Below are 19,364 nucleotides of genomic sequence, written 5' to 3' on the forward strand. Positions count from 1 at the left end.
GGAGCCTCGCTCTGTCGCCAGGCTGGAGTGCAGTGGCACAATCTTGGCTCACTGCAACTTCTGCTTCCTGGGTTCAAGCGATTCTCCCGCCTCAGCCTCCAGAGTACCTGGGACTACAGGCCTGCGCCACCACGCCCAGCTAATTTTTTTGTATTTTTAGTAGAGACGGGGTTTCACCATGTTGGCTAGGATGGTCTCGATCTCTTGACCTCGTGATCTGCCTGCCTCAGCCTCCCAAAGTGCTGGGATTACAGGTGTGAGCCACCGTGCCCGGCCAACTTTTTTCTTTTAAAGCTAAACACCTCTCCTCTAGCTGCAGACTCCAGGTCAGAAGTGAGGATCGTATGTGGCCCCATTCATATTCTCTTATATATTCATCCATTAATTCAGCAAACATTTATTGAGTGCCTACTGTGTGCCAGGTACTCTTCTAGGCTCTAGAGACACTAGTAAACAAAGCAGAAAAAGTCTCTGTCCTCAGGCAACTTTCATTTGAATAGGGAAGACAGAAAATATACAAGCAAACCAATAAGAGTATTTCAGACAGTGAGGTTAACATTATGATGTAAATAAACAGGGTGATGTATAGTGACTGACTCAGGAACTACTGTGCAGATGGAGTGGTCTGAGGACTCTCTGAGAAGGTGACATTTGAGCCAAGACCTGAAGGATAAGAAAGAACCAGACTTTCCATTCAGAGAAAACAATAATTGCAAAGGTTCTGAAGTGGGAATGAGCTTGGTATATTTGGAGAGCAGAAAGTCATTTTGGTTGAAGCATAGTGAGCAAGGGGAAGAGTGATACAAGACGGATCAGAAAGGAACAGAGGACCCAGGTTACACAGGGGCCTGTAGGCATGTTAAGAACTTTGGATTGTTTTCTAAGCACAACAGAAAGCCACTGAGGGGTTTTAACAGGGGACTGACATGAATTGGCTTACATGTGTAAAAACATCAGTCTATATGCTTCATGTTAAATATTCTGTGTGATTATTAATATATAAGTATATTAATAGACAAGTGCAGAGACTAGGGAGAGGGCAAAGAAGAGGATCCGAGACTAAGCTCTGCCAAGCACCAACATTTAGAGTTTGGGTATAGAATGCAGCACCTACAAAGAAAACTGAGAAGGGGTGAGCAGTGACTTAAAAGGGAATCAGAATGCAGTGTCAATAGAAGTTCAGCGTTTCAAGCGAAAAGGAGTGATCTAGCATGTTAAATAGTGCTGAAAATTCTAGTGAGATGAGAACAACACTTTGGCAAGAGCAACTGCTCAGCAGAGTGGTGGGACAAAAGCCAGATCACAGTGAAGGAGAGCTGAAGGAGAGGTGAGAAGTGGAGACAATTCTTTCTAAGAAACTAGAAGGGGAACGTGTAGTCAAGGAAAGGTTTGTTTTTGTTTCATAAGATTGGAAATACCAGAGCATATCTGTATTCACCCCTGGTAGGTAGGGAGGATGAAACTGAGAGATGACGATTATAGAAGTGAGGTCATCGAGAAGGGTAGGGGGAGGTGGCCCAGAGCACTTGGAGAGAGCTTGGCTTTTGCTAGCAATGACCCTTCTTTCATTATTAACAGCATGGAAGATGGAATGTATAGGTACATACATATAGGTAGGTTTGTAGATTTTTTTGGTGGGAAGATTATGAAGTTCCTGGCAATCAGGGTCACATTTATCTGTGCACATATCAGTGCATGAGCTCAGCCTTCCCCTAGTCCTGGCACATAGTAGGCACTCAATAAGTATTGGCTGAATGTTAACTGAAAGGAAAGAAGACAACTGTCATCACAGAGGAGCTTTGTGTTGGGGGGCGGGAATGGTAATAGGAGTAAAATAGACAAGAAGCCTTCAAACAAGTGAGGATGGGGGAGGGGATCTCACCAGTGCCAACACCCAGCCTGACCCCTCCCAGGAAGTCATTGCTGGCCAGGGGCTCCCGGTCCCACACAGTCAGTTCCAGGCACATATGCTGTAGATCTTCCAGCCTCACACCATTGTAGACAAATGTATGGTTGTAGTGAGGATTCAGGGTCTTCTTCATCACAGGAGTTTTACGTTTACTGGCCTTGTTCCTCATGGGAAGGAGGTATCTGGCAGAGGGCGGGGAGTAATCAACAGCCTACTCAAAGCGGACAGTTATCTCTCTAAATTCCCCTTTCCCCTACCACAGGCCTAGCCCAAGAAGATGAACCCACATCCAGATCCTACTACACACGCCCCTCCTTGAATCTGCTGAAGCAGAGTTCCCACTACCTCTACTAGATCATTCACCTGATTCAATTCCTTTAACCTAGAGAGAAAATGAATATAATAGTATTAGTGAGGCTATTCTGTGCTCCACTGAAAATGGGTTTTAAATATTTGGCTTTGTTTCTACTAGACAATTTATCTCTTTAAATAAAACCAATAGTAATATCTATAAACTTAGCCAAACATGATTTCTAGATAAATTAAGTCAGTAGGTAATCTGTAATTTTCGGAAAGCTTAAAAACTGTGGGAAACAAAGCCCTGAGTTCCCAAATCTAGACAGTCAGAAGACACAGATTTTCACCCAGAATTAATTAAGAACATGAGTCAGACAAAAGTCAGAACCTGTCTGCAGCCCTCCTCTTTGGATTATCAAGTCTACAGCCCAGACCAGTGCAAAGGTGGTGAAGGTTTTGTCATTACCTAATTTCAGGAACAAATTTGGTTGCCGGGAGTGGTAAGACACACTGGATAATATCCACAGAGAAAGTTAAATTCTTCTCTTAGCTCTCTTGTTCTGAAACTGGTTAATTTGGGGCTGGTCTAGGGACTCACCCCTTGACAAAGCTGTCTGAAGTCCCTCCTGCTTTGGCAGCCGTCAAGTTCTTGGCTTCTTTGATCCACACCTGGAGCTCTCCCCCTTCCCCACCTTTACCTGTAAGGGATGTCAGCCATAGCAAGTGAGCCCCTTCCACCTCTAGATTTATCTTGAGCTTTGTTTATGCAGCACTTTCTTTGCTTGCTCCTAAAGGCAGCGAGCTCCATAACAGAACCGTGCCTGTCCTGTCTCCTCAGTGCCTAGCACAGTGCCTGCCAGTAAGCAATAGGTGCTGTATTAATAACAACCACAATATTAATAAATGCCTATTGAAAACTGGCTATGTGCCAGATACCATGTTAAGCATTTAATTCTCAAAACAACCCTAGGAGAGTCACACTATTTTTGTCCTCATTTTGTACATGAGAAAATTGAGGCTTAGAGACATAAAGTTGCCTGATATTTGTTCAATGATTTAAAAAAGAGGGAACTCCTCCATCTGAGTTCTCGATTCCACCCCTACTTCACAGGACTCTTCAGACATCATCAATTTCAATCCTCACCTCCCAATTTAAATATCTCTTTCTCCACTTGTCCCTTCCCCTCAGTCTAAATATATACTAATCTCATCTCTTTGAAAAAGTACTTCTAAAAGAAAAGCTCCCTTTAACCTTATCTCTTCTTCAAGCTATTCTCCATGTCTCTACTTTCTTTCACCATCAATTATCCTGAGGAAAAAAAGTCCACACTTACCACCTCTACTTCTTTGCCCATTCACTCAGCCTAGTTTCTAGTGAAATCTGGTTTCTGCTTTCACTGATCCACTGAAAATGCAATCTAATGCCAATTGGCCATGTCTTCTCAGACCTCATCTGGTCTGACCTCCCTGTAGTATTTCAATACTGTTGATAACCTCCGCCCCTTCTTCTTGAAGCTCTCTCCTGATAACCTTTTACTTCACTGGTGTTTCTTTCTCTCTTCATCCTTTAAAATGTTGCTGATCTCTCTGGTTCTATACTTGCCTCTCTTCTCTAGTCATGCTACATACCCTCATTGGGGATTTCATTGATTCCCCCAAACCTTCTAGATGTGACTCTGCCAAAGGTATATTTTTTCAAAGAACGTAGGCCACACATTGCCAAGGGATCAAGTGAAACTCTTTATCATTAAGTTCAAGGCCCTCTTCAGTCAGGCTCCCACCTCATGTCCAACTCCAGCCCCACACCTACATCTAGTGTACCAGAACTCCAGTCCCACTAAAATAAGGGACACACTCACATACAACCCCACATTACCATGCCTTTTTAAAACCTTTGCGCATGTTATCCCCTCTTCTGAAAATGCTCTTCTCTCCTCATCCTGCTCCTTTTCTGTCTGGTAAAGTTTTAAGATCCAGTTTTAATGTTACTTCTTCAAAGCTCTCCCAAATGTAACCAGACATAATTCACCACTCCTATATCTGTGTCCTTTTAGCACATGACTGTCTTTCTTGCAAAAACTTAAGCTCCTCAAGGGAAAGCAAATATGTTTTACTCATCTACACAACCGTAGTCACTAACACAGCAGCTGGCATGTTGAATTACTCTTCCCCAGCTTTCAACTTCCTGTCCTTCATACTTTACCACCTCTCCCAGCCACCCTTCTCAGCCCCAAAGTTTCTGTTCTCTTCTGCCCTCTTAGTAGCTTGCCACAGCTGGACCAAGACCAAGTCCATTTAATAGCCTAAAAAAAGAAAAGAATGCCAACCCTAAGGCATTCCCTTCTGTTTGAAAAAACGCAGAGAGGCTTCCTTAGTAAAGGAATCTCCCTAGCAGATCCAGGGAGCATCCCAATTTGGTCTCTCCAACAGTGCTAACCAGTAGCCAGCACCGGCCTTGCACAGATCCTATGCAGAAGACTAAGCTACATCCAGGACCCCAAAGAAAACTCACTCTTTTTCCGGTCACCTCCAACAGGGGTTTTGGAGGCTGGGATGTATTTCAATGAAACCACCAACTCGCCTTTGTGTGATGGCAAGCCAGTCGGGGACTCAGCACTGATCTGAAACACAGGGAAACCCAACAGGTCAAGCTGGGCTTCTCAAGAATTGTTGGGACTTCTCTCTGAAAAAAATTCTAAAATTACCCCCCAAGAACAGCATCAGGGCAAAAGAGGATCCTTCTTCATATGAATATAATCCACCGTCCCTAGGCCATGGCAGCCACAGGTTTCTATGGCAGTTTCTTTAGAAGGAAATAGGGCAGAACCAACAAAGAGTCTTCTGCAATACCCACTATTATGCCACTTTGGGGGCATAGTTACTAGATTCCAAATACTCTCAAAGATCTTCAAGCAAGGTTGCCATACAAACTCACGAAGGACTGACAGCATGACAGAGAATCTTGCTACCAGCATTGTTAGTAATAGCCAAAAAGTGGAAACGACCTAAATGTCAATCACTATAGAAAGAGTTAAATGAATAATTGTAGTGTCCTGGTATGGCATATGGCATGCAGTCATCAAAAAAGAATTCAGTGAATCTGTACATGCTGACATGGAAAGATATCCAAGACATAGGGTTAAGTCAACAAAGCAAGATGCAGAAAAATGTTCCACTTATATTAAAATATATTCATAGTTGTACATGTGAATATAAATGTATGTAAATAACGATTGCCATTATCACTTATGTTAGCCCTTACTATGTACTAGGCACTGTTATAAGTACTTTAGGTGTATCATTTTGTTTGATGACTGTCTCTATGAGACAGGTACTATTAACTCCATTTTACAACTGATGGAAGAGAGGAACAGAGAAGCTAAGTAACTTGCCCAAGGTCACACAGTTAGTAATTGGCAGAGCTAGGATTCAAATTCAGACAGACTGGTTCCAGAGTCCGTGCTTTTAAACATTATACTACACTGCATAGAAAAACCCAGGATACGAACAAACTTATCCTCGTTTCCTCTAGGGAGGGCAACAGAATAGGGAAATGAAAGACAACTTTCCCTTTTTTACTCCATATTAACTTTTAGTGTCCTTTTAATGAGAATAGTATATATCATTTGTATGGTTTTTAAAAATACAAAGTATTTTTACAAGGTATTTTTAAAAAGAAGGCTTGCAGGGGAAAAAAAAAAAGAGGGCTTTCAGTCAGGTGCAGTGGCTCACATTTGTAATCCCAGCATTTTGGGAGGCTGAGGTGGGCAAATGCTTGAGTCCAGGAGTTCGAGACCAGTCTGGACAACACAGCAAAACCTTGTCTCAACAAAAAACACAGAAATCAGCCGACGGGGTGGTGTGGGCCTATAATCCCAGCTACTTGGGAGGCTGAGGCATGAGAATCACTTGAACCCAGGAGGCGGAGGTTGCAGTGAGCCAAGATCGCACCACCGCACTCCAGCCTGGGCGACAGAGCCAGACCCTGTCCCTCCCCCCAAAAAAAGAAAAAAGGAGGGCTTGCAAAGATTTGAGGGCTAGGTGAAACTCTGTTACACGAATTTGGATTTGCCACAATTATAAATTTTGCATTTAAGTTATCTTTGATCAATGTCTGTCTCTAACACTGCAGCCGAAGTGCCAAGAGACAGAAATCAAGCCTATTTTTGTTCATCCTAGTATGCCCAACACTTAGCAAAGTATCTGGCACATAGTAGGTGCTCCACAAATATTTACTGAATGAAGGTAAGAGTGAACGAATGAATGTCTGAGATGAGCAGCAGGTGGCCTATTGTCTTTGGCTTTGATTGGCAGAACTGCTTCACTCGATTGGCTCTCTCGGCATGACTTTGTTCCTTGTGCTTTAGTATCCAGAGCATGAGCTGGTGCAGACTAGAGGTGCCCTTTCACCTGCCTGTATTTTTTTTTTTTTTTTTTTTTTTTTTGAGACAGGGTTTCATTCCCAGAGCCCAGGCAGGCTAGAATGCAATGGCGCAATCTCGGCTCACAGCAACCTCTGCCTCCCAAGCTCAAGTGATTCTCCAGCGTCAGCCTCCCGAGTAGCTGGGACTACAGGCGCACACCACCACACCCAGCTAATTTTTGTAGAGGTGGGGTTTTGCCATGTTGCCCAGGCTGGTCCAGAACTCCTGAGCTGAAGCGATCCACCCACCTCAGCCTCCCAAAGTGCTGGGATTACAAGCAGGAGCCACTGCACTTGGCCTTGCCTGTGTTAATTGGGGTTCCTCTAACTTAGGTCCTTACCAATGCTAGGAAGGCATAATCCCCATAAGTTTGGATCAACATACCACATACCCAGAACACACAGTTTAATATATGTGAGAGAGACAAAAGAATCGGGAGGTAGATGCAGGCAAGGGAAAACTGAATAGGAGCAAATGGATTGCTAGGGAAAAAACAAAAAACAAAAACAAAACCAGAAACAACAAATGTAGAAGTTAAAATCGATATATAATATGGGAATGGTCTTTCTGTTGTTTATAAAATGTCTACACAATTTATTAATTTCTAGAAAATTATTTTTTAGAAAAGTTCTGTGAACTTCAGTGGACTCTTAAAAATTGGAGTTTAGCATTAGCTAGAAACTGGCATATTTGTTTTAGTAGCACATTCTTATTCTGGCTCCAAATATTTACAAAGAGCAAAGACCTCCATGTTAATGTGGTTTCTTCTCTTTATATAAAAGTTTTATTGGCAGTAGTTCATGATGGTTTACAGTGACATTTCCAATATAATTATATTGACCGTAGAGAATGACTTGGGTGCCAAATGGTTAAAAAATTCTAAATTTGTAATAATATGTTATACTTTGGTAATAATTTCTTTCCTGTCTTTTTATTGACATATAATATTTGTATATATTTATGGGGTACATGTGATATTTTGTTACATCCATCATTTTGAACATTTATCATTTTTTTGCACTGGAAACATTTCAAATCTTCTAGCTATTTTGAAATACAAATATTTTTGTTGACTATAGTCATCCTACTGTGCTGTTGAACAAATTCCTGTTTTTATTAGTATTTAAAGGGACAAATTTAATGTTGTCACTATTTTTTTTTGCAAGGGCAACAGCTATCAAAATATTGGATTTATATTTCCTTTCACTCAGCAATTCCACCAACAGGAACTTCTCTGACAGTTACATTCACAAAAGAAGACCAAGATATATTACAGCATAGTTTTAAGAGCAAAAAAGAATTCAAACAACTTAAAGGCCTATTAGTGGGGGAATGGTAAATAAATTATAATACAGGCACATGAAAAAATACTATGCAGCAGCAATTAAAATGAGATAGATCTGTAAGTGATGGCACAAAAGGATGCCCATGATAAATGAAAAAAAAAAATGTGTACAATGAGGTCCATGTGAACCCATTTGTGTAAAAAAAGAAAAAAATACATATAAATACATGGATGCATATCTGTGCTGCTTAATACAAAATTTCTTTCTTTCTTTTTTTTTTTTTTTTTTTTGAGACAGAGTTTCACTCTTTTGCCCAGGCTGGAGTGCAAAGGCGCAATCTCGGCTCACTGCAACCTCCGCCTCATGGGTTCAAGCGATTCTCCTGCCTCAGCCTCCCAAGTAGCTGGGATTACAGGCTTGCGCCACCATGCCCAGCTAATTTTTTTGTATTTAGTAGAGACGGGGTTTCACCATGTTGGTCAGGGTGGTCTCGAACTCCTGACCTCAGGTGATCTGCCTGCCTCCGCCTCCCAATGTGCTGGGATTACAGGCGTGAGCCACCATACCTAGCCATAAAAAATTTCTAGAAGGATACACAAGTAGTGTTAACACTGGTTATTTCTAAGGAATGGAACCTACTTTCCTTTTAATATACTTTATGTTGTTTTAATTTTGAATCATGTGTACATAAGTCCATTTTTGCTTAATTTTCTTAATATGGTAAAAAGTTCAAATGCTTAAAAAGGGGATATAGAGAAAACTAAATATTCCTTCTACCTCAGTCTCCATTCCTAGAGGCAGCCACCATGACTAGTTTCTCATCTAACTTCCCAAAGTCTATGGACCATGTAAAACCATCCCACATTTAAAACGCTAGTGTAAAAAAAAATAAGATGAACTTTGTCATGTCATTGTGTAGTTCTGATAATCAAGAAGTTGCTGAATAAGTCCTCTGTTTTAGCTATTTCTTCTTAGCCAGATGATTTCCCTACATTATTTTGTAGTTAAGTGACTCATCTAGTTGGCAAGTGACAGAACCAGGATTCCAACACAGGTCTGCACTCAGATCCCAGGCATGATTATGCCATACTGCTACACTGTGGCCCGAGGTGCCATCTCCAAAGTAATATTTCCCTGGCCTCTGTAACCAAGAGCATAGCAATTGGAGCTCCATGAATTGCTTTACTTCCCACTTGGAAGTAAAGCAGTGGCTTGGCAAAAGGGTACAGATTAGGATATACACAGAAGGTTAGCTCGGAGAAGAGGTGCGAGTTAGGATGTTAGGATACACCCAGATTCTGGAAGGTTAGGAGACAAAGTTTGGTACACATATGAAAATTTTTTCAAAGCAAAACCATGGCTTCACACTTTGCCTGGTTTACACAGAACTCACACTTGATAGACAAATGCCTCTGAAATTGCTGTCAAACTCAGAAACACCAGCAGGGGGCACTAGAACTCCAGAGAAGACTACATTCAAAGACGCTACCAACATAGACCAGCAGAGGCTACTGCAGACAATTCTACCTCAGATCCAAACTGCAGGAGTTGTTAAAGCAGACTACCTTTCCATGTAAAGGGAGGCAATGATCCAGTTTCTTATCAAGCTTCCAGGAATCCATCTGGATCTCTGCCTCTCCAAGGAAAGTGTTTCTGCCAAAACGACCATGATGCCAAACTGAGAACTGCAGGGTCCTCTGGGCCAGGAGAGATTCTGGGATCTCATACTGTGAAGGGAAAGTAAAAGCCCAAGATGATTAGTTAAGGGTAATTCTTCAGACAAGATTATTCCAAAACCTGAGCAACCATTCCTGAAGTCACTAGTCCTGAATACCAAATTACTTTATGTTCCCTGAGCACTTTGAGTTTCCTCACTCAAAGCCTCAACTTAACTCATTTTATAAAAACCTACCATATTCCATAGGAGGACCTGGAAAATTCATTTTTTCTTAAGTGGATGAGATAACACTGGATTGTCCAAAAAGAACTGCCAAGGAGACTCCTTATCTCAAATGTCTTTTTTACATGAGATTTGTGGCCATGTGAATCTCAAACTTCACATCAATCCAGGAAAGGCAGATCACCTTTGTTCTCTTCACTGGGAGATCAGGATGTGAACAGATACCCAATGTATCCTCAGACACAGACATGGCCCACTGAAGCCCGTGTCACCTGGTCATGTTGCAGAGGAATAGCTACAGCTTAGGGCACAAGACAGAACAAGTTCTCCTACCCTTGAGGTCTAGATACTTACCCTCAGCGTCTCATCATATAGTGGATTAATAGTGTCCCGCTTGATGCTGGTTTTTCTTTTTCCTTGGCGGGACTTGTCAGGCAGAAGGTAAGTCTTCACATATCTAGAAACCAAAGACAGCACTGAGTAATTTGCTGGCCTTTCTCAAGCCTGCTTTTCACTTTCCTCCTCTCCATATAGATATGCCATGGTGACATGTGATGTCAAAAATGTCACCTCAAGCCCTCTTAGACATGCCATTCTTGCTTTTTCCCAATCCTGGTTCTTTTCCTACATTACACCTCCCTGCTCCCCCAGAAACAGATAAGCTCTGTTCAAGAGTGCCCGGACAGATGCCGGGGTCTGGTCTCTGGTCTCAGAGCATCAGTCAGGTTCCAGAAGCACTCACGGGTTAGAGCGCTTCTTGGCTTCATCAGCATAGGCCAGCTGATGGCACTCCTTCACATGGACAACCAGACTCTGGGTTTGCTGCTCATACTTCAGGGAAAAGGCAATCCTGCCAGTCACAAAGATGTTCCCGAAATCACCAGCTTCACTGTAGATGCTCATCATGCTGCCGATCGTACTCTGAAGATAAAGCACCCACGAACATCTGGGGAAGGCACACTCCCCCGCCCGCATTGCTCACATCTTCCCTCATGATAAAACCACAGTCACTGAACAGAAGTTTCAGAAGCCCCTGCAATAAGCCAGTGCTGCTGACATTCCTTGACCCAGAGGGTAAGAGAGAACTACCAGCACTCAAAATTGTTCAGGTGAATGAATCAGCTCATGGCTCACCTAGCCTCTTAGCTTCTCTTCCTCAACTCTTTTTACAAATTTTAGTGTTCATTTTCACCTGCCCCAGGAGGTGGGCAGGGAGCAGAGGCAAGGTGCAGTTAAGTCCATCTGGGGAATGTGTTATATACACTAAAACACCAGCTAGAAGGGGGTTAGTTACTAACTAAAACAAGGTGCCTTAATTATCTGTGGGTTTCTCTTATCCACCTTATGTCTTATCAGGGCCTACAGAGAAAAGAGATTTGGCCAGAACTGGGAGTGAGTGGGAGGGAGGAAACCCCACCAGAAGTGAAAAGGCACCTTCCTTTCTGGTAGTAATCGGTCATGCGAGCTGACATTCTCTTCCTGTGTGTGAGTGTGAACAAATTCTGTTCACCCTTGTTCCTGTTTCCCTAAATATCAATCTTCATGCTTATGACAGAACCAGGCCCTGATTCTTAAATGTTCCCTTTAAATTCATTATCCTGACTGGTATTATTGCTTGTTAACCATACCCTGATGTCGATCAACCCTGCCAGAGCCCCTCTCATGACACTCACTTTCTTTTAATGTTGAGAATTTGGAATGGGCTATGATGAAGAAATCTGATCTTGCTCACTTCATAGCCTGGGTACCCCTTTAGAGGATAAGTTAAGGTTATTGTTCACAAAGCTGTGATGAAAAATGTCCCAAGCTGTAATGTAATAATCTCCAGGTGGGGGCTCAGGAAGTCACCTAGATGTACACTAAGCACCTATAGTCTAAATTGAGGATAGGAACAAACAAATGATCTTACTTACCTGAAAAGAGTGACTAGGATGGTTTCCCCAGGTCCCGAATCTGCTCTAGGGAGGTGCTTCTTTTCTTCCTAGTACCCCAACATGCCTGTAACCACAGATCTAATAGAACTTACCATGGAGGAGCCACTTTGCATGCTGCTTCTGGCTAGCTTCTGGCGATGTAACTTCACTAGGTGGTCAATGTCTTCTTCTTCTTCTTCCTCTTCCTGGAACAATAAATATAAATTCAGAGTTAATAAAAGAAAGACTTTTCTTTAGCTTCAAAGACTAATATCTTTCCTTTAAAGCTCCAAGTTGCCATGTGTATGTGTACGCACACATACTTCTTTTTTTTTTTTTTTTTTGAGACGGAGTCTCACTCTTGTTGCCCAGGCTGGAGGGCAATGGCGCAATCTCAGCTCACCGCAACCTCCGCCTCCTGGGTTCAAGCAATTCTCCTGCTTCAGCCTCCAGAGTAGCTGGGATTACAGGCACCCGCCACCACACCTGGCTAATTTTTGTATTTTTAGTAGAGACAGGGTTTCTCCATGATGGCCAGGCTGGTCTCAAACTCCTGATCTCAGGTGATCCGCCTGCCTCGGCCTCCCAAAGTGCTGAGATTACAGGCATGAGCCACCATGCCTGGCCTCATATCCTTCTTTTTACATGTCTTCCCATTTCAGGGTTCCCAGCTCTATTCCAACCATCCTTCTCATATCTCAAAAGAATAAGATAAGAATATTTAATGTTTTTCATAGAAGCTATAACTCTTTTCCATTTGACTTTCCCCAACCCTGTTTACATTTTAATCAAAAGAAGTATTTATTTGAGCCCCAGCCATATATCCAGCAATTTATTAGAAAATAAAAGAGATGGTCAGGCGTGATGGCTCATGCCTGTAATTCCAGCACTTTGGGAGGCAGAGGCGGGCGGATCACTTGAGCCTAGGAGTTCAAGACCAGGCTGGGAAATACAGTGAGACTCCCATCTCTCAAAAAAAAAAAAAAAATTAGCTGGGTATGATGGTTCATGCCTATAGTCCCAGCTACTCAGGAGGCTGAGGTGGGAGGACAGCTTGAGCTCAGGAGTTCAAGGTGGCACTGAGCTATAATTGTACCACTACACTCCAGTCTGGGAAACAGAGTGAGATGCTGTCTCTTAAAAAAAAAAAAAAAAATTGGGAGGCCGAGGCAGGTGGATCACCTGAGGTCAGGAGTTTGCGACCAGCCTGGCCAACATGGTGAAACCCCATATCTACTAAAAATATAAAAAATTACCCAGGCATGGTGGCGCACACCTGTAATCCCAGCTACTCAGGAGGCTGAGGCAGGAGAACTGCTTGAACCCAGGAGGCGGAGGTTGCAGTGAGCCGAGATCGTGCCATTGCACTCCAGCCTGAGAAACAAGAGCGAAACTCCGTCTCAAAAAAAAAAAAAAAAAAAAAAAAGAGATAGCAAAGACAGTCCTTTCCTTTAAGCAAATCAGGAACCAGATTTACTTTAGAAACTTGGGGGTATCAAGTTTCATGTTGCCTTTTCTTAAAGAATTAAATAGGTTGACTGAGAATATCAGGTACTAAAGCCAACTCCAGATAAGTAAAATTTCATATAGTGACCAAGTAAAATATAAGGGCACCTACCATATCCACATTGAGGCCTGGGACGGATTTGCTTCTGTCTCCCAAGGAGCCACTTTCATGTACCACATCTTCTGGGCGAAGATCTATCACAGATTTAGTGTACTCTGAGGGGAAGACCAAAAAAGCCAAATCAAAGAGACCTATTCTTCTCCATACCAAGAGCCCATCAAGGGTACTCAGAACTTCAGTCCTGAAAGACCAGTAAGGGAAACCAGTTACCTGAAGGCCTGAGGATTTTTCTGGTGTTCTTCTTAAATATCATCTCACCCTCATCCACAAATACCACATTTTGACCTCCAGGCTGAGTTTCCTAGGAAGGAACAAGGGCAAGAAAATGGAAAAGAACAGATGGATAGGTAGAAGGAGTGAGTAAGGAAGGACAGTCTTAAGAAGAATAAGGCTCAGATTTTCGCTAAACTATGACAAACTTAAAGGAAAGATTAAATGCCTAGAAATAGTACAAAACCTATTTTCTCACACATTTCAAACAAAACTTCAGAAAATGCTCCCAAGTGAATTTGAACTGAAATTTGTTTAGTTGAAATTCCTGATTTAAATTCTGCCTAAGAGAATGGAGGGAGGGAGGGAAGAAAGAGGAAGAGAAGAGTGAGGGGGAGGGAGGGAGGGAAAGACGGAGGGAGACAGGAGGTAAAGGAGAAAGGGAAGGAAGGGAGGGGAGGAAGGTGGCTCAATAACCTGAAGCTTACCTTTTCTACTTGAGATTTGGGAGCAGACATCTTCTTCCATTCTGGAAAGAGGCCAGATTTATCCAGAGAGTCTCTCCTGGAGGTAGATTCAGAAATTATAACTAAGTCACCTCCTACCCTTCCCCTTCTACCCAGGGATCAAAGCTCTATGGAAGGAGAGCCAATGGCTTGGGTCATCGTAATAACCAAATTCAGAAGGTACACTTCGCATGTGATTTACCTGGAAGGAATGCAGAAGATCAGATAGGCAACTTTGCACAAACACAAACACTCACACCCTCATTCTTAAGGGACAGCAGCATCAGTTGCTACTGGGCTAAGAAGAATACTCCAAGATACTGGGGGAATTGACTAGAGATGTCAATGTGTTCCAGGAAGCTGTGCTCAGAGCCAAATCAGTAGACGTGCTACTGAAAAGACTTCTGTTGAGGACAGAGAAAATACTTCGTTCAACTTCCTGAGGACAGAAGTCAGGAACACTGATGCTGCAGAACAAAATCACAACTTGGGTTGAGAGGAGATGAGGGAAATGGGGGGAACCCCACCTGGAGGTGCTATCCGAGTCAGCTGTGAAGCTATCCAGACTCTCACTCTCAGCTTCCAATGCACTCTTTCCACTTTTCAGCTTTGGCACTTCAAATAGCACACTAGAATAAAAACCAAGAGCCAATATTGAAAGGAAGCAGGTTCTCCTGCCTCTAGTCAGGCCTCTTTCCAATCCATTCACAATCGTAGCCTGAGTGATCTTTCTAAAATAAATATGAGTATACTTTAAACATATAATAAATTAATTAATTAAGAAATAAGGTCTCGCAATGTTGCCCAGGCTGGAGTACTGTGGCTATTCACAGGTGCCATCATAGTGCACAACAGTCTCTAACTCCTAGGCTCAAGCAACCCTGCTGCCTCAGCCTTCTGAGTAACTGTACCATGGTGTACCAGCTGAGTACAGGCATGTACCATGGTGCCCAGCTGAGTATACTTTTTTTTTTTGAGACGGAGTCTCACTCTGTCTCCCAGGTTGGAGTGCAGTGGCGCGATCTTGGCTCACTGCAAGCTCCGCCTCCTGGGTTCACGCCATTCTCCTGCCTCAGCCTCCCGAGTAGCTGGGACTACAGGTGCGTGCCACCATGCCCGGCTAATTTCTTTGTATTTTTAGTAGAGATGGGGTTTCAATGTGTTAGCCAGGATGGTCTCGATCTCCTGACCTCGTGATCCGCCTGCCTCGGCCTCCCAAAGTGCTGGGATTACAGGCGTAAGCCACCACACCCGGCCCTCAGTATACTTTTAAAACTCTTCAGTGGTTCCCCATTGCTGTTGGGATTTAGCTGAAACTCCTTAGCATGGCAAGAAATCCTCATGATTTGGCCCCTGCTCACCCTCTCCAGTCTCATTTTTCACCCCCTACTCCTCCTTCAAGCTTTATATTTTAGAAAGACAAAGTTATTTTGTTTCTCTGAATATCCTGAAGCTCTCCATCTTCCCTCTTTTATCTGCCTAAGATATTCTTTTCACAATGGCCACTTTTCTTCACCTGCCTCAATCTACTCCTGCTTCAGGTCTCTCCTTATATGTCAATTCCTCCAGATCTCTCTGGCCATGCCCCCACCCTAAGTCTCGATTAGTAACCTTCCTCTGTGCTCCCATAGCATCCTGATTTCCTAGTAACAGTCACCACATATGTAACTATTTATGTATTTTAAACAAATTATTTATTTGGTTCAATAATTTAAACAAATTATTTAATGTCTTTCTCCTCCATTCGACAAAGTTCCATAAGATCAGTGACCACGTATCTTATTTACTGATGTGTTCTCAGTGCCTTGAAGAGAGACTAGCATAGAGTATGCACTCAAGTATTTTTATTGACTGAATTATTGAATAAATGCCCTCAGTGGGACTGAGATATATCCATAAATAAGCAGTATGTCTAGAAGACAGTATTCAGGTGACCAGAATTCTTTTTTTTAGCTTAATCGCCTTAATGAAGGATGACTCTGGGCATTCAAAATACCAGTTCTCATCTTTCAAGGGAAGGATACGGTTCCTCGGCCCCTTACCTCAAAGAATTAGTGAGAGCAGCAGGAAAAGGGGGAAAAAACATCGATTCTTCCTCAAATATCTCAAATAACTTCCCTTGGCTCCCCGGACACCACACTCTCCTGGTTTCCTCCTCCAACCTCACTGGCTGCTGCTTCTCAGTCTCCTTTGCTAGTCCTTCCTCCTCCCGTAGACCTCTAATATTTAGATTATGTCCAAACTTCTTCCTTGGGCTGCTCCTCCTCTCTATCTAGAATTATCCCTAAATGATCTCATCTAGTCTCATGGCTTTAAATATCCTCAATAAACTAATAACTCAAATATATTTATTTTTATTTTTTATGTTTTTTGAGATGGAGTCTCTGTCACCCAGGCTGGAGTGCAGTGGCACAATCTCGGCTCACTACAACCTCCACCTCCTGGGTTCAAGCGATCTCCTGCCTCAGCCTCTTGAGTAGCTGGGATTACAGGTTTGTGCCACCATGGCTGGCTAATTTTTTTATTTTTAGTAGAGACAGGTTTTCACCATGTTGGCCAGGCTGGTCTTGAGCTCCTGACCTCAGGTGATCCATCCGCCTCAGCCTCCCAAAGTGTTGGGATTACAGGCGTGAGCCATCATGCCCGGCCTCAAATTTATCTCTTACTCAAACTCCAGACTTGTTTTTCCAATGGCCTCCTCAATGTCTCCACGTGGATGTCTCAAACACAGCAAGCCCAAAACCAAAGCCCTAATCTTCCCCCAAAACTGCTCTTCGCTCTGTCTCATCAAATGGCAATTCCCTTTCATTTCTCAAGTCAAAAACGCTAAGAATCATCGGTTACTCCTCTTTTTCTCACAATACAAATCAAATCTGTCAGCAAATCCTCTTCAATGTATACCTAGACTCTGATACGTTCTCACTGCCTCCACTGCCATTACTCTGGTCCAAACCACCATCATGTAGCTCTTGGATGGTTGCAGTAGCCTCCTAACTAATCCTGCTTCTTCCCTTGGCTTTGACTTTCCCTCAACAGCCAAAATGAGCTTTTAAAATGTAAATCAGGGATAGAACTATCATATGACCCAGCAATTCCATTCCTGGGTACCTACCCAACAGAACTAAACAATATATGTCCACACAAAAATGTTACATGAATGTTCATAGCAGCATTATTCCTAATAGCCAAAAGATGAAAACATCCTAAATGTCCATCAATGCATGATTAGACAAATGAAATGTGGTATATTCATATAATGGATTATTCATCAATAAAAGACAATGAAATTCTGATACATGCTGCAACATGGATGAACTTTGAAATCATTATGCTAATTGAAATAAGCCAAACACAAAAGGCCACATATTGCATGACTGCATTTATATGAAATGTCTAGATTAGGCAAATCCATCAAGACAGAAAGCATATTAGGGGCTGGGGTAAATGGAGGTGGCTACTTAATGGCTATCGGGTTTCTATTTGGGATGGTGAAAATGTTCTGAAATTAGATAGTGGTGATCTAATTTCACAACATTCTGAAAGTACTAACAATCACAGAACTTTATACTTTAAAATTGATTAAAATGATTTTATGTTATGTCAACTTTACCTCCATTTTTAAAAAGAAGACAAAATAAGGCTGTGCCCCTCAGAGCCATCCTTCTTACTTGGAGTAAAAGACAGAATGCTTACAAGTGCCACCAAAGTCTTAACATGATCTGCTTCTCATCCCATCTCTGTCCTCAACTCCTTCCTCAGCCTCCCTTGCTCACTCAGTTTCAGATTACTCAAAAGTGCCAAACAAAATCTCACCCTAGGGTCTTTATACCTCCTTCTTTCTCTATCTACATGCTCTTCCCCCAGATACCCTAAGGGTTTGCTCCCTCATTTTTTTCATATCTTTGCTCAAACGTTACCCTGTTGTTAAGACTTGCCCTGGCTATCCTAAACAGTATATGTACACACATTCATTCCTGGCACTCCCTATACCTTTGGTCTACTTCATTTTCTCCACAGCACCTGTCAACATCTGATATACCATACATTTACTTGACTATCTTTTTATCTCCCACCCCGGAAATCTAAGCCCCACAAACAAGAGGCCTTGTATTCACCAGTGTATCTCAGGGTCTAAAACAATGCCTGGCACATAGTAGGCATTCATAGATATTTGTCAAACAAACAAACTAATAGATGCACAAAGAATGAGGTAACCAAAATCTATAATGTCTTAGCCAGTAAAGAATAAACTCTCCAAGTTGTCACATGATGTTTGACAGTTCTGTGAAAACAGACAGCAGGGCTGAAATCCTAGTACTTACAAGAGGTGAAATGTCAGTCATTCCTTGAAAGATGTATTACTTGTATAGCACAAGACATAGCAGGGGGGCTTGATTTCATTTTTTACTTTAGAATTGTCCTTTTTCCCCTTTTGTCCCCACCCCCACCCCCGCCAAAAAAACCCAAGCAGAACCATTCCTCCAGAGAGGTAGTTTTAACAATGGTCCATGGAGAGTGGTTTTTCCTTTTTTTCCTAAAGATTAATACATACCAATCCACAGCTAATACAAACAACCCAAGGGCAGAAAAGCAATTATTTGACATCTGTGCAGTAAAAAATAGACTAAGAGATGGGAGCCCTGGGCTCTAACTATCTGTATGATCTCAGGTAAATCACTTATCCTGCTTTCTTTTCTGCAAAAATAGGGTGGTTGAATTAAATTATCTCTGAGGCTCCATAATTTCATGGGAAAGATCATTTATGGTCACTTAATCTGTTTTCATGTTTAGGATAAATAAGAGTCTTCTGGGTCCAATGAGACAAGAGATCACAGACAACCAGAAGCAATAGGTTTCAGAAATTACATTCTGACTGATGATGTCAGATGTGTTAATCAGGTTCAGCAAATAAAAGCCATTCTTATCCTTAATCCACAAAGAAAAAAGGGGGCCTCATCACCTGGAACGGATGAGTCACCCACCCAAGGCTGTGTAGATAAAAATCACAGTCCATATATACAATGAAACATCATACAGATGTCAAAAGAATGAAACAGATCCTTGGTGCTGACACAGAAAGATGTTCATGTTATATCCTTCTACAATTTTTTTCTTTTACGCTTTGAGTAATAACTGACATAAATAAGCTGCACATGTTCAAGTGTGCAACGTGACATTTTGACAAATGTAGACATCTGCGAAACTATCACCACAATTAAGTTAATGAACATATCTTTCACTCCCAAAGGTTTCCTCCTGCCCCATTCTAATCCCTCCTGCCCTTCCTGTAAG

The 19,364-nt window shown here is 42.3% G+C and overlaps 1 protein-coding gene across 19 annotated transcripts in view, besides 2 other annotated features; it reads right to left on the minus strand.

Moving 5' to 3' along the window:
- The window catches only part of SYTL4 (synaptotagmin like 4), a 57,631-nt gene that overhangs the window by 2,018 nt on the left and 36,249 nt on the right, over window positions 1-19,364 (minus strand). For 13 of the 19 annotated variants that reach the window (NM_001370161.1, NM_001129896.3, NM_001370164.1 and 10 more), the window contains 11 exons: window positions 14,600-14,701; window positions 14,055-14,130; window positions 13,567-13,657; window positions 13,348-13,451; window positions 11,843-11,935; window positions 10,559-10,737; window positions 10,171-10,273; window positions 9,482-9,643; window positions 4,719-4,827; window positions 2,805-2,904; window positions 1,883-2,091 (listed from right to left, as the gene is read on the minus strand). In NM_001370161.1, the coding sequence (NP_001357090.1) occupies window positions 1,883-2,091; window positions 2,805-2,904; window positions 4,719-4,827; window positions 9,482-9,643; window positions 10,171-10,273; window positions 10,559-10,737; window positions 11,843-11,935; window positions 13,348-13,451; window positions 13,567-13,657; window positions 14,055-14,130; window positions 14,600-14,701 (1,328 nt within the window). Of the gene's footprint in view, window positions 1-1,607; window positions 1,762-1,882; window positions 2,092-2,804; window positions 2,905-4,718; window positions 4,828-9,481; window positions 9,644-10,170; window positions 10,274-10,558; window positions 10,738-11,842; window positions 11,936-13,347; window positions 13,452-13,566; window positions 13,658-14,054; window positions 14,131-14,599; window positions 14,702-19,364 lie in introns of all 19 variants that reach the window. The other 6 variants (XM_017029968.2, XM_017029967.3, XM_047442649.1 and 3 more) reach the window with 1 other exon arrangement.
- Window positions 9,257-9,306: a silencer, noted in NCBI's record as "silent region_20915". NCBI's record gives its function as "represses an Ori minimal core promoter by ATAC-STARR-seq in GM12878 lymphoblastoid cells {active_cell/tissue: GM12878}" and the evidence as "EXISTENCE:reporter gene assay evidence [ECO:0000049][PMID:35858748]".
- Window positions 9,367-9,416: a silencer, noted in NCBI's record as "silent region_20916". NCBI's record gives its function as "represses an Ori minimal core promoter by ATAC-STARR-seq in GM12878 lymphoblastoid cells {active_cell/tissue: GM12878}" and the evidence as "EXISTENCE:reporter gene assay evidence [ECO:0000049][PMID:35858748]".

The sequence above is a fragment of the Homo sapiens genome, chromosome X (assembly GCF_000001405.40).
Source record: "Homo sapiens chromosome X, GRCh38.p14 Primary Assembly".
Lineage (NCBI taxonomy): Eukaryota > Metazoa > Chordata > Mammalia > Primates > Hominidae > Homo > Homo sapiens.